The sequence below is a fragment of the Homo sapiens genome, chromosome 20, assembly GCF_000001405.40.
Source record: "Homo sapiens chromosome 20, GRCh38.p14 Primary Assembly".
Classification (NCBI taxonomy): Eukaryota; Metazoa; Chordata; class Mammalia; order Primates; family Hominidae; genus Homo; species Homo sapiens.
In genome coordinates this window covers 3077202-3092055 of record NC_000020.11, presented here as the reverse complement: position 1 = coordinate 3092055, position 14854 = coordinate 3077202, and the positions used below count along the sequence as shown (strand labels likewise).

Below are 14854 nucleotides of genomic sequence, written 5' to 3'. Positions count from 1 at the left end.
GCGCCCAGCTTGTCGGCTGATTTTATTCTATTTAGCTCTTCAATCCAGCTGAGATGTGCCTTGGTCTGGAAAGAGCAGAAGGCCTCCCCCGCCCTTTTTTACTTGGTCCTGCAGTGGATCCATTTCAGTTCCATACCTGTCCCCTCAGGCTCAGCATTTTTCTCAGAGGTTTCTCATCCCTGCTCAATGTATCCTCTTTGATTCAATTCAGTAAGCAGGTCTTGGGCTCCCACAACATCTTTTGTTTGCTCTTGTTCCCCTCTTCATAGTTTACAGAGCATTTGTGTGGGTCCTCAAAAATACTACTGGAGGCTGGCGCCGTGGCTCACACCGGTAATCCCAGCACTTTGGGAGGCAGAGGTAGGCGGATCACTTGAGGTCAGGAGTTCGAGACCAGCCTGGCCAACATGGTGAAAGCCCATTTCTACAAAAAATACAAAAATTAGCCAGGCATGGTGGTGAGCATCTGTAATCCCAGCTACTAGGGAGGCTGAGGCACGAGAATTGCTTGAACCCGGGAGGCGGAGGTTGCAGTGAGCCAACAGGTGAAAAGAGAGAAAGCTGGACTTACTGCTACCAGCAGTGTTCTTTTGAAAATGAAGCCAGCTAGGCACGGTGGCTCATGCCTGTAATCCCGGCACTTTGGGAGGTCAAGGTGGGCACATCATTTGGGCTCGGGAGTTTGAGACCAGCCTGGGGAAAATGGTGAAATCCTGTCTGCACAAAAACAAAGATTAGCTGGGCATGGTGCTGTGGTTCCAGCCACTCGGGAGGCTGAGGTGGGAGGATCACTCTTAAGCCCAGGAGGTAGAGTTTGCAGTGAGCCATGATCGCACCACTGCACTCCAGCCTGGGCGACAGAGCGAGACACTGTCTCAAAAAAAAAAAAAAAAAAAAAGAAAAAGAAAAAAAGAAAAGAAAAGAAAAAGAACATGAAGCCAATGGCCAGGCACAGTGGCTCACGCCTGTAATTGCAGCACTTTGGGAAGCCAAGGTGGGAGGATTACTTGGGACCAGGGGTTTGAGACTAGCTTGGGCAACACAGTGAGACCCTCATCTCTACAAAAAAAAAAAAAAAAAAAAAAAAAATTAAAAAGGAAAAAAGATAGAAAGAAAATGAGGCCATGCCCTCTCTGGCAGTAGTGGAGATGTTCTATGGTATATACAGCAGGGGAATAAGAAACAGAAGGTGTGGGCAGGGCAGATGCTCTGCTAAGATTAGTTAACTGTTACTTCTTCTCAGAAAAGGTGGTCTAAGGGTAAGGAAGTACTTTATAGAACATTCTGACATTTGGGGTTTCATCTGGAGGCTTGCCACGTTTTATTATGTAAGGATTGCAGAAATCTTAACCCTTTATGGCACCCTCATCTGATTCCCTTAAGACCTCAGTGGGACAGGAAGTGGGGTTAGTACTTCAAGTAAATAACCTTGGGAACAGGTGTGACTTGCCCTGGGTCACACAGAACTCCCTGGAGAGCTGAAGCTGGTACCCAGAGCTTCCCTTCCTTCTTTCCATAATTTATTGAACACCCTCTACCTGGAGTGGGGTTACCGTACTGAGCATGAAAGGTAGAGTCCTTCCTTTCTGCCCTGGTGTTTCATTTTAAAGGGGTTATAGGCATACACACACAAAAAGATAGACACACAAAAAATGAATTGTGAATTGCAGTAGGTGCTATGAAATTCATCAACATAGTCCCAGACAGAAGATAACAGAGATGGGGGATGCTCTAGATAGGGCAGTCAGGGGAGCCTCCTCTTAAGAGATGCCATTTAAACCAATCAAATGAATCCTGGGGAGGGTGCGGGTAGAGGAATCTTCCAGGACACGGAAACAGCAGGATCTCAGATCCCAAAGCAGCAGTTGGAGTTGAGACTGATTTTAGAGGTAACATAAGCAACAGTGAGGGAAAGAGAAGACCCAGGGTGAGTCTCAGGTTCTGGGAGGAGCAGCTGGTTGGATGGTGGTAAGATCACACAGGTGGGAACCCTGGAAGAGCAGGGAAACAGCTGAGAATCTGGAGTTGCGTGTTGACTTTGTTAAGTTGGAGAAGCCTATTGGATATCCAATGTGAGGTGTCACTGGGCAGTTGAAACTATAAGTCTGGCTCTTTGGGGAGAGGCCCAGGATGGAAATACCAGTTTGGGAATTATTAGCTTGTAGTAAGTATATAAAATTGTGGGATCACCCAGGAAGAGAAGGGACACAGGACTGATTCCTGGGATGCTCCAACGTTTAGAAGTCAAGGTCAAAGAGAAGGAGCCAGAAACGGAGACAGAGAGAACACCCGGTGTAACAGAAGGAAAACCAAGAGAGTGTAGCATCGGTGGAACCAAACAAAGTGTGTTTCAGAAAAGGATAAGTGTGGCCGGGCGCGGTGGCTCACGCCTATAATCCCAGCCCTTTGGGAGTCCGAGGCAGGCAGATCATGAGGTCAGGAGATCGAGACCATCCTGGCTAACACGGTGAAACCCCGTCTCTACTAAAAATACAAAAAATTAGCCGGGCGCGGTGGCGGGCACCTGTAGTCCCAGCTACTCGGGAGGCTGAGGCAGGAGAATGGCATGAACCCAGGAGGCGGAGCTTGCAGTGAGCGGAGATCACACCACTGCACTCCAGCCTGGGCGACAGAGCAAGACTCCGTCTCAGAAAAAAAAAAAAAAAGAAAAGGATAAGTGTTCACCCATGTCAAATGCTGCTAGATCATGTGAAATAAGGACATAGACATCACCACCACATTTTTCGTTTTTTTTTTTTTTTTTTTTTTTTTGAGACGGAGTCTTGCTCTGTTGCCCAGGCTGGAGTGCAGTGGCACGATCTTGGCTCACTGCAACCTCCGCCTCCTGGGTTCAGGCGATTTTCCTGCCTCAGCCTCCCGAGTAGCTGGGATTACAGGCAGGTGCCACCACGCCCGGCTAATTTTTCTATTTTTAGTAGAGACGAGGTTTTACTATGCTGGCCAGGCTGGTCTCGAACACCTGACCTCGTGATCCACCGGCCTCGGCCTCCCAAAGTGCTGGGATTACAGGTGTAAGCCATTGCGCCCAGCCGACCACATTTTTCAATATGGAAGTAGTTTAACACCTTGACAACAGGAGTTTCAATGGGCTGGTTTGAGCAGAAGCCCAGGTGGAGGGAGTTGAAGAATAAATGTTGACTTCTGGATAAATGGCAGGTGGAGTGAGACCCCATCTCTAAAAACAAAAACAAAAACAAAAACAAAAACAAAGGGCAGATGGACCACAAATGAAAAACCAAGATGACCACTAACTCCAAGGAATACAAAAAGTTGTTCACAGATAGAAAGATCATCATAATATACTACGTGGCTTAGCTCAGAGGGCAGAATTGCAATCTAACTTGTAATACTGATCTATCATAACGTCATTGTATTTAGAAAATGGTGGATGAAGGGTATACATCAGGGGAGGGGGAAGGAACTGGTGAAGGAGCTGACTCCTTTCTTTTGGAAGGATGAATGAATCAGGATCATGAGCTGAGATGTAGGAGATAAAAGGACCGAGAAGATGTAAAAAGTAGATTGGGAAAGGAAACCTGTAAGGGACGTGTAGAAGGGTGTGCAGTGTCTGGGGGGTCCATGTGACATATGGGGTGATGTGTTGGAAATGCAGCCAGTCAGCACAGGATAGAGACTTTTCCCAGTCAGCCAAGGTTCCGAGAAGGTAGGTCCTGGGAGAAAGGGGCCTCGGTGTGGGAGGCCGGTCTTAGAATGAAGATCCTGGTAGACAGATCTGGTCAGCACAGAGGTCCTGGCTGTCCCATGGCTTGGGCCCTTCAGTCAGTCTGGCCTCATCCGTTTTCAGTTGTTGACTCAACCCCCTGCAGTGAAGAAGGGGTAAGGTGCTGGGCCAAGGCGCCTTAGCCAGGCCTCCAGCCTCTCTCCTCAGCTAGCCTCACAACCCACAGAGTCTCAGCGGGGCAACGGCCTCAGACCAAGCTTGTTTCCAGGCCAGGAGTAGAATGAAAATGTTCCTCCTAGACTAATCCAGGAAGCTGCTCTCTCTGGAAAAATCTCCTAGCTCTTAACAAGAATAATGGCATTGGCCAGGCATGGTGGTTCATGCCTGTAATCCCAGCACTTTGGGAGGCTGAGTGGGGTGGATCACCTGAGGCCAGGAGTTTGAGACCAGCCTGGCCAACATGGTGAAACCCTGTCTCTACTAAAAATACAAAAATTAGCTGGACGTGGAGATGGGCGCCTGTAATCCCAGCTTCTCAGGAGGCTGAGGCAGAAGAATCGCTTGAACCTGGGAGGCAGAGGTTGCAGTGAGCCAAGATCGCGTCACTGCACTCCAGCCTGGGCAACAAGAGCAAAACTCCATCTCAAACAAAACAAAACAAAGAATAATGGCATTACTAATGCAATACTACTGTTCATTAACTTTACAATGCTGCAGCCCCCTTTTTCTTTTTTTTGAGACGGAGTCTCGCTCTGTCGCCCAGGCTGGAGTGCAGTGGCGCGATCTTGGCTCACTGCAAGCTCTGCCTCCCAGGTCCATGCCATTCTCCTGCCTCAGCCTCCTGAGTAGCTGGGACTACAGGCGCCCGCCATCACACCCGGCTAATTTTTTTTTTTTTTTGGATTTTTAGTAGAGACGGGGTTTCACCATGTTAGCCAGGATGGTCTAGATCTCCTGACCTCATGATCCGCCTGCCTCGGCCTCCCAAAGTGCTGGGATTACAGGCATGAGCCACCGCACCTGGCCACATGCAGGCACTTTTCTAAAGCTACTTTTTCTTTTGAAACAGTGTCTCACTCTCACCCAAGCTGGAGTGCAGTGGCTCAGGTATGGCTCACTGCAGCCTGGGCTCAAGCAATTCTTCCACCTCAGCCTCCCGAGTAGCTGGGACCACAGGCATGCACCACCACACCTGCCCAATTTTTAAATTATCTGTAGTGATAAGGTCTATGTTGTCCAGGCTGGTCTCGAACTCCTGGGCTCAAGTGATCCTTCTGCCTTTGCCTCTCAAAGTGCTGGGATTACAGGTGTGAGCCACCGTGCCCAGCCTTAAAGCTGTTGTTTTTTTTTTTCAATTTAAAATGTATTTATAGGCCGGGCGCGGCGGCTCACACTTGTAATCCCAGCACTTTGGGAGGCCAAGGCAGGAGGATCACAAGGTCAGGTTCAAGACCAGCCTGGCCAACATGGCAAAACCCCATCTTTAGTAAAAATACAAAAAAATTAGCCAGGCGTGGTGGTAGGCGCCTGTAATCCCAGCTACTTGGGAGGCCGAGGCAAGAGAATCACTTGAACCCCGGAGTTGGAAGCTGCAGTGAGCTGAGATCACGCCACTGCACTCCAGTCTGGGTGACAGAACGGGACTCTGTCTCAAAAAAAAAGTATTTATTTATTTATTTAAAATTAGAGATGGGGCCGAGCACGGTGGCTCATGCCTGTAATCCCAGCACTTTGGGAGGCCGAGGCGGGTGGATCACTTGAAGCCAGGAGTTCAAGACCAGACTGGCCAATATGGTGAAACCCCATTTCTACTAAAAATACAAAAATTAACCTGGCGTGGTGACGCGTGCCTGTAATCCCAGCTACTTGGGAGGCTAAGGCAGGAGGATCGCTTGAACCCGGGAGGTGGAGGTTGTACTGAGCCGAGATTGTGCCACTGCACTCCAGCCTGGGTTGACAGAGTGAGACTCTGTCTCAAAAAAAAAAAAAAAAAATAGAGATGGGGTCTTGCTATGTTGCCGAGACTGGTCTCAACCTCCTGTCTGGGTCTCCCAAGTAGCTGGGATTACAGGCATAAGCTGCCATGCCTGGCTCTAAAGCTTTTGTATAATAAATTATTTATTTCTGTCCTCACATTGACCCTAGGAGGTGGGTACCATGATTTTCCTTACTTCACACTGGCAGAAAGTAAGGCACAGAGAAGTCCAGTGAGCTGCCCAAGCCATGAAGTGTCGAGCAACAGAGGCCAGACCCTGAGCCAAGCTATTGGGAGCCAGTGTTCCTGCAATAACAACTGCCCAGTGTTGCCTCTCAAAGGGTCCTTGCAGTCCCTGAGGGGTCATTCCTGAAAAGACCGACGCCATGGCCTGAGTATAGGAGGCCCCTCCTGGGTTGCTGGCCCCCTCACTGCCCTTGCTGGAGATGGGGCTGCTGTGTCCCCTGGAATTTCCTCGCAGCACCTCTATGCACCCTGGAGAGGAGGCCAAGAGCCTGTGGGAACTGCGAGAGCTGGGGACTGCGCACAGCTTGAGAGGCAGGGGGTACCGGGCCTGAACCCCAGACCAGCGGGGCATTCTGGTGGCCCAGGGAGAGAGGCCATGTCCTCTTTAGACCTGCCACCTTGGGATTAGGGACCAAAAGTGGCTTTCTCAGGCTGGGTCCATTTAGGTATGGCTCCTCCTGCACCTTCCCCCAGGCCCAGACACCCCCCACCCCCGGCTCTCCCACCCCAGGCCTGAGATGTACCTGCCCTGGTTGCCACATACTAAGGTCCTGGTGGGGGTAGGAATTGGGACAAACTGTTGTCAGGTTTCCTGGGGCTCCCCCCGCCTTTGAACCTTACTTGGCATGGAGTTCTTTCTCCCCATAGTAGCTCTCCACACTCATGTTTCTACCTGGGAGGGGGTGACGGGTCATGTGCCAATGTGTCCCCAAGGCCCCCAGTTTCAGGGCCTGAGTCCCCATGCCCTGCTCTATGGGGGTGCGGGGGTGTCATGTCTTGCACTTTCCCCAGCAACCTGCCACCCCCCTACCCTGTGAGAACAAGCCCCTCTCATTCTGTGTCCCTTGACTCCACGACGGCGGCTGCCTTGTCCACGAGGCAGGGATTCTCATCTCTGGTGCAGCCCCTGTCCTCACCACTCTGGGCTTGTGCTGTTCTTGGTCCCTTATCTTGTTGTCACAGGGCTAACCCTCCCCACACACCTGGCTGTCCCCTGCCCCACAGCTCCTAGGCCAGGGCCTGTCCCTGCCCCTAACACGCAGCCCCTCGGTTCCTCTTACCCTCTTCTTGGACCCTACGCCATTTCTGGGTAATCAGAAAGCTCAGAGATGGTCTCCAGGTGACCCCCCAGTCTGTCCCTCTCCCTGAATCCAGAGCGCTGCAGTCACAGTAGAGGCAATTGCTGTCATTCCGCGGCCCATGACAGCCTGGCGGCCCGTACCCCTCCCCTATGATCCCCTGCACAGACAGGCCCACGTGTGTCCCCAGATGCCTGAATCACTGCTGACGGCTGGGGACCTGGCGGCCGTGGGCTCCTGGGGAGCCACTGGGGAGGGGGTGGCGGCCGCGTCTCGCCTCCACGGGAACACCTGCGGACATAAATAGGCAGCCAGCAGAGGCAGCAGCACAGAGCCACCAAGCAGTGCTGCATACGGGGTCCACCTGTGTGCACCAGGATGCCTGACACCATGCTGCCCGCCTGCTTCCTCGGCCTACTGGCCTTCTCCTCCGCGTGCTACTTCCAGAACTGCCCGAGGGGCGGCAAGAGGGCCATGTCCGACCTGGAGCTGAGACAGGTACTTCCCACTGTGGGCCATCTCAGGGCTGCCATAGCGGGCAGTGCTGACACCCTGGGTCAGGGGCTAGGAAAGAGGGAAGTCATGGGTGGTGGTAGCCTTTAGGGGAAGTTCGGGGGAGGAAGAGGGAGGCATGGCATGGCTGGGCAGAGGAGCCAATGGGGTGGGCCAGAGGGGACCAGGCTTTGGAGGAGGCTGGGAGAGGCTGAAGGCGCTCCTGGTCACTGTCGCCATCCAGACAGGGATGCAGGGAAATGAGGGATGCTTCCCCGGTGACTGGGCTTGGGGCTGGATAGGGAGAACGGGGCATCATGGCCTCCCCTGTGCCCATGGCGTTCTTGCATCTGGACTGGCTGGGGCAGCAGAGGCTCCATCCTACCTAGCATTGGAGGCTTTCCTCATCCAGCCCCAGCCTCCCAGCCACAGGCGCCCAGGCCCCCACACAGAAGATGGCCACTGGTCTGAGCGCGCTTGAGTGGGGCATCCTGTGGGGAAGTTCTGCTGGGAACCTGGCCTAATTCTATAGTGCTGGACGTTTCCTCCATTTCCAGCAGAGCTGAAGGAAATCCAATCACGATGTGCATGCAATTCTGTCCAGGCTCAATGATGAGCCCTTGAGCAAATTAGACCACACCAGGCTCAGCTAAAAGTCTAATGCGCTATCCATTGCGCCAGAGAACCGGCTGTTGAGCAGATGAGAGTGGCCGCTCGGCAACCCCCGCAGCCTCTCTTCCTCCTGCTAGGCTCCTTTAGGGTCCTGAGGCACCTGGGTGTCCGTGCTCGCCTCTAGGTCTCAGGCCCCTGCCACCCACCTGATAGGTCATAGGTGGCTGAGCAGGGGTCAGGGCTCCAGCTGAGGCCGACAAGCTTGGCGGGGGCCAGGGGCAAGGCAAGAGAGGAGACAGGAAATGGGAAGGGCCGGGGTTCTGGATGGGTAGGGCCTCTCCGCATGGTGTAGTGGGGAAGGGGGTGGGCCCGGGCTCAAGCCGCAGCAGGGCGAGGAGGAAGGAGGAAGGGTCTGGAGTGGTGGAGGGTGGGGCAGCTGCAACAGTGGCGCCCACCAGCGATGACCCCGAGGCTCGAGGAAGGGTTCCCCACGCTGTAGTCCACGGGAGACCCGTCCCTAGCTGAGGGTGAGGACGCTGAGGGCTGTCACCGAGAGGTCATCCAAGAAACCAAGGTGCCGAGCAGATCTGGACGCCCCGCCCGTGACCGCGGTCGAGGCCCAGTGGCGCCCGAGCGTGCCTGCAGCCGCAGCCCCGGTGTCCCGCCCGCACTCCGAGCCCTGGACCCCAGCATCCCCGCCTCGCTGCGTTCCCCTCCAACCCCTCGACTCCCGGCTCCCCTCCTCCCGCTCACCCCGCCCGTCCCCGCAGTGCCTCCCCTGCGGCCCCGGGGGCAAAGGCCGCTGCTTCGGGCCCAGCATCTGCTGCGCGGACGAGCTGGGCTGCTTCGTGGGCACGGCTGAGGCGCTGCGCTGCCAGGAGGAGAACTACCTGCCGTCGCCCTGCCAGTCCGGCCAGAAGGCGTGCGGGAGCGGGGGCCGCTGCGCCGCCTTCGGCGTTTGCTGCAACGACGGTGCGCGGCGGGGGCGGGCCTGGGGCTGGGGGGGGCGCAGACCGCTTGGGTGGGGGGGACGCGGGCCTGCGGCGGGGTGGGGGCTGCGTCGGGCCCGGCAGGGAGGGTGTGGGCCCCCCGCACCCCGAGCTGCGCCCGCCCCAGGGCGCCCGTGCTCACACGTCCTCCCGGCAGAGAGCTGCGTGACCGAGCCCGAGTGCCGCGAGGGCTTTCACCGCCGCGCCCGCGCCAGCGACCGGAGCAACGCCACGCAGCTGGACGGGCCGGCCGGGGCCTTGCTGCTGCGGCTGGTGCAGCTGGCCGGGGCGCCCGAGCCCTTCGAGCCCGCCCAGCCCGACGCCTACTGAGCCCCGCGCTCGCCCCACCGGCGCGCTCTTCGCGCCCGCCCCTGCAGCACGGACAATAAACCTCCGCCAATGCACGGCCTCGCGTCTGTCTCAGTCTCTGGCGGGAAGAGGGAAAGGGAGAGAGGTGGGAGCGCGGACCCCCGCCACCACGCCCACCGGCCAGTCCCCGGACCTGAGGTCGTGGGCAGATCCACCCCAGAGAAGCAACAGGTCCCGTAGAGGAAGCGATCTGGGACCCGCAGAGGTGTCGCTAGACCGAGGGACAGGGCGAATTGGGAGGCAGGGGAGGGGGAGACCAGAGGCCGAGAGTGGCCTTGGAGGGGGTGGGTTGAGGATCCTCCGGCAGAGGGAAAGAAGTAAAGGCAGAGAGGGAAAGGCCTGGAGGACAAGACAGCAAGAGACCCAGAGACAGAGACAGCAGAATGTTGGAGAGAGATGCAGAGACATTGACAGTGACGGAGAGAAGAGTGAGAGAGGCAGAGGGGACAGGCCGAGGGGTGACCATTCTGTCCCCATTTTCATCCCAGGAGACTGAAACACAAACCGCTCAGGGACCCACCCTGGTCCCGGGATTCCCAGTGCAATGTCTGATTCACCCAAGGCAGTGCTCGTGTGTAGTGGCGGTGGGGACATCACTGTCTGTCCAGTGCACCCACCATTAGGGCCCCTCAGCCAGAGTGGGGGACCCCTAACAGATACAGCCCCACACAACCCCAAGCACGCTTGGACAGAAACAGACAAGAAAATAACTGCTAAGAACGTGTCCGCAACCCTTGACCACAACCACAGAGACCCTGAGCCCCACATTCAGAGCCACAGACACCCAGAGAAACACAGACACAGCCGACACGAGGATGGGCAGGAGCATGTATGTACAGGCTCACACAAGCAGGAGTGCACTCACATTAGCTCCCAGACATGAAGACCTTCCGCCCTTTGACATGAGCCCCTTTGGCGAAAAGACGTCCAGCAGTGCTCGGCCTCTTCCTCTGCATCCCTTGGGTTCTCTCACCCCCTTCTTGAACCTGAGGCCTTTCTGGTCCCATCTGCCCCTTTCTCTCCTTTGTCTCTCACTCTGCTCTCGCCTCCCTGTTCTGCCAGCTCCTGGGCCCCCTCTTGCCTCTCTCCTTGGCCCCTCCACCCCTCCCCTTCTGTCCCCTCACCCCCTCTGCCACCTCCCATCCTTCTCTCTCTTGGCCTCCTCTTTTCTCTGCATCCTCTCCTTGGGCTTCCTGCTCCAGGTCTTGGAGCCACAAGAGGCTGCATCTCCTTCGGGATCCTCCGCAAACTCTGAGGTCAGGAGGGAGTGCAGGAGGAGGGAAGTCCGCCTGGGCCCTGACCCCAATGCCCAGGCTTACGGCCAAGCCTGGTGACTCAAGCAGCCCAGCCTCAGCAGCCCTGGGCAGAGTCCAGGCACATGTCAAGGTCAGGCTCTCTTCCACACTCCCAGGGCTCCCCTTGGCTCTCACCCCTGACCTGGTTCTGGGCTCCTCTGCCAGGCAGTGCCCGGCACGACTGGGTCTAGCCAGTGGGGACAGGGACCATGCAGGCTTGGGTCACTGCCATGACCTCCTGCTCCTGTTTCATGTTGTCCACTCAGGGCCATCCCCCATCTGGCTGGGGCTAGAGCAGGACCAAACCTAATAGGAATTTATTAACTCTTCCAGACTGGGAAATAGGAAGAGGCAGGTGGCTTGGCTGCACTGAATTCAATCCAAAGTGTTAGTGTCTGGACTTGGGGACAGTTTTAGAATGAGGTCCAGGAACTTCCTCTTCCTAAATACAGATTCAGAGACTCCTTTCCCTCCACTTGTCTTTGTCAAAACAATCAGGCTACTATTTCTTGGAAGGGGTGACGAATGTCTGCCCACCCCCAATTTGCCCAAATGTCCACCTCCCTGTACAGTCTTTCACTCTTTCTCCCTCTCCTTGAGTCCCCTGGCCCAGCTACAGAGCCATTTAGCAAGGAGAGGTCTGCCCTTGTCTGCTCAGTCTCTACAGGGCAAATGGGCTGCGGCAAACCCACCACAAGGGGCAAAGCAGTGTCCAAGCCTCCACATCTGCTGTTTCATAAAAATGGTAACATCGGCAATCTCTTTTTAATTTTTATTTTTATTTATTTATTTTTCAGCATCTACATTAAGGACACAGCAGTGTCTCTTGTTAAAGAACTTCTTGGCCAGGTGTGGTGGTTCATGCCTGTAATTCCAGCACTTTGGGAGGCTGAGGCAGGAGGATTGGCTGAGGTCAGGAGTTTGAAAACCTGTGTCTACTAAAAATACAAAAAGTAGCTGGGCATGGTGGTGTGCACCTGTAGTCCCAGCTACTCGGGAGGCTGAGACAGGAGAATTGCTTGATCCCGGGAGGCGGAGGTTGCAGTGAGCTGAGATAGTGCCATATATATGTGAATCTATTTCTGAACTCTCCAATCTGTTCCAGTGATCTTTTTTTTTTTTTTTTTAGACAGAGTCTCACTCTGTTGCACAGTCTGGAGTGCAGTGGCGTGATCTCAACAGCCGTGTTGTCCAGGCTGGTTTCGAACTCCTGATCTCAGGTGATCTGCCTGCCTCGGCCTCCCAAAGTGCTGGGATTACAGGCGTGAGCCACCGCACCTGGCCTAGATCTATCCTTTCTATAATATTATACTATTTTGAATATGATAACTTTATCAGGTTGTGTGGCTTTTCCAACTTTGTTCTTTTTCAAAATTGTTTTGGCTATTCTAGTTCCTTTGTCATTCTGTATAAATTTTAGAATCAACTTAATGATTTCTACAAAAAAATCCTATTGGGAGTTTAATTAGAATTGTGTTGGATCTTTCAATCAATTTGGGGAGAACTGACATCTTTACTCTGATGAGTCTTCCAAATCAATAAACAAATATATCTCTCCAGTTATTCAGGTCTTCTATTTCTTCCATCAGCATTTTATTAGTTCAGCATATAGAATTTGTATATATTATGTAAGATTTCTACCCAAAAGATTTCATATTTTTCACACTATTTTAAATAGTACTGTGTTTTAAAATTTAATTTCCAAGTAGTTATTGTTAGTATATAGAATTATGAATTATTGTTGACTTTGTACCCTGTGATCTTGCTAAATGTACTTATTAGATCTAATAGCTTTTTTGAAGATTCTTTGAGATTTTCTACATAGATAGTAATTTCTTTCTTTTTTTTCACTGAGGATTTTTGCAACTTCTTTCCATGCCTCCCCGGTCAGTGTGACAGCCATGCTCTGCTCACACTCTGTCTTGTTGCATCGTGGCCAGGACATTGTTCCCAGCAGAATCCTGGCGTAATCATGGGATTCACCTACCGAATTTCCTTCTGTCTATCGTGCCTGAAAATAGTTGCTTTATATATTTTATCCAGTTTTGCAACTGCTTATGGTGGGAGGCCTAGTCAGTTACCAGTTACTCTGTGGACAGAAGCAAAAGCAAAATCCTACCTTAATATTAAAGGAGAAATGATTGACCCTTCTGCTTTCATCTTGCCTGGGTCAGGCATAATGCTCAAAGAACAAGTAATAGGAGGCTGGGCGCGGTGGCTCACGCCTGTAATCCCAGCACTTTGGGAGGCTGAGGTGGGTGGATCATGAGGTCAGGAGATCAAGACCATCCTGGCTAACATGGTGAAACCCCGTCTCTACTAAAAGTACAAAAAAAATTAGCCGGGCGTGGTGGCGGGCGCCTGTAGTCCCAGCTACTCGGGAGGCTGAGGCAGGAGAATGGCGTGAACCCAGGAGGCAGAACATGCAGTGAGCAGAGATGGCGCCACTGCCCTCCAACCTGGGTGACAGAGCGAGACTCTGCCTCAACAACAACAACAACAAAAAAAGAACAAGTAATAGTTTTGTGACATGAGGACGAAAGGTGTACACTAAGGCTGACACAGCAGGGAGGCAGAGCAGGTTGGGTTGTGAAGGCACTGTGGAATGGTTATACTACTAGTCCTAAAATGCTGCTCTCTAGCCTGAAAGTTGCATGAACAAACTGTTCATTCACGGTGCTATCTGCTGGGTTTTCTGTTACTTACTATAGGTAGGTGGAAAAGTAATGGCAAAAACCTATTATGTTGCACCAACCTAATAATAAGTTCAGTCCTAACTGATATAAAATTATAGCCCAGAGAAAAGGTATGTAACAGTCTAATTTATGACTTAGGTTCAAACATCCAAAAAATAATATTAGTAAATAAACTGCAGAAGACTAAATTGAAGAGTACATCATAAGCAAATAGGATTTCTTAATGAATGGAAAGATGGCTCAACAATGGGAAATTTGTTCATATAATTCTCAAAAGAAGATAAACACTGTCATTGCTAGGAGTTCAGAGTATCCAGTTACCTAATACTCTGGCTGAGAATGCTAGTTGTTCATCAAAATCTCTTCTCCCTCCATATCATGTATCTATTGCCACAGTTACGCTGGATAACAAACTGCTCCCAAAATGAGGTGGCTTAAACACACCAATTATTATTTCCCATCACTCTATGGGTTGTCTGAATGGTTCTGGGGAAGCTGGCTGGATTTGACTGGTCTTGACTGAACTTAGTCGTACATCTGTTAGCAGCTGATAGCTCAGCTGAGGTCTGACTCTGCTCCACATGGTCTCTCATCCTCCTGTAGAGTAGCTAGCCTGAGCTTGTTCTTGTGGTGAGACAGAGGAGCAAAAGAACAAACAAGGTGTACAAGACTTCTTGGGGTCTAGGCTCAGCTTAGATCTGCCATTCATTACTTCTGCTGTATTCCATTGGCCACAATGTGACAAACCACCATGGAGACATTTCAAAGTAGGTGGATGAGAACTGATTCAAGGAGTAGAGAAATAGACTTCTCGTGATGGGAGAAATTGCAAAGTCATATTGTGGATGTGGCTACAGGGAGGGGTGGAGAATTGCGGTAATGTTTTTGCTATCTACCACAGCTTCTTTCAGGGTCATGAAATTGTTGCTGGGCGCAGTGGCTCACTCCTGTAATCCCAGCATTTTGGGAGGCCAAGGTGGGCGGATCACCTGAAGTCAGAAATTCAAGACCAGCCTGGCCAACATGGCGAAACTCTGTCTCTACTAAAAATACAAAAAAATTAGCCAGGCGTGGTGTCGCCTGCCTGTAGTCCCAGCTACGTGCCTGTAGTTCCAGCTACGTGCCTGTAGTCCCAGCTACTCGGGAGGCTGAGGCACCAGAATTGCTTGAACCCCGGAGGCAGAGGTTGCAGTGAGCCAAGATCGCGCCACTGCACTCCAGCCTGGGTGACAGAGTGAGACTCTGTCTCAAAAAAAAAAAAAAAAAAAAAAAAAGAAATCTTAGCTATATTTCCCCGCCTCCTTTGCAGTAAAGTAGGCCACATGACCATGCTTTTGTCACTAAAACCTGAGTAAAAGGAAAAGTGGCACTTGAAATCTTTTTTTTTCTTTGAGACAG

At 52.5% G+C, this 14854-nt stretch overlaps 1 protein-coding gene across 1 annotated transcript, besides 1 other annotated feature; it reads left to right on the top strand.

Annotated features, from left to right (window-relative positions):
- Positions 7332-9500, top strand: AVP (arginine vasopressin). The gene is made up of 3 exons (NM_000490.5): positions 7332-7501; positions 8878-9079; positions 9254-9500. Exons 1-3 carry the CDS (start codon positions 7382-7384, stop codon positions 9424-9426), a joined length of 495 nt encoding a protein of 164 aa, NP_000481.2. The 5' UTR covers positions 7332-7381; the 3' UTR covers positions 9427-9500.
- Positions 13715-14479: a transcriptional cis regulatory region, noted in NCBI's record as "candidate enhancer chr20.213 targeted for multiplex CRISPR interference". NCBI's record gives its function as "positively regulates AVP gene expression in K562 cells {active_cell/tissue: K562}" and the evidence as "EXISTENCE:mutant phenotype evidence [ECO:0000015][PMID:30612741]".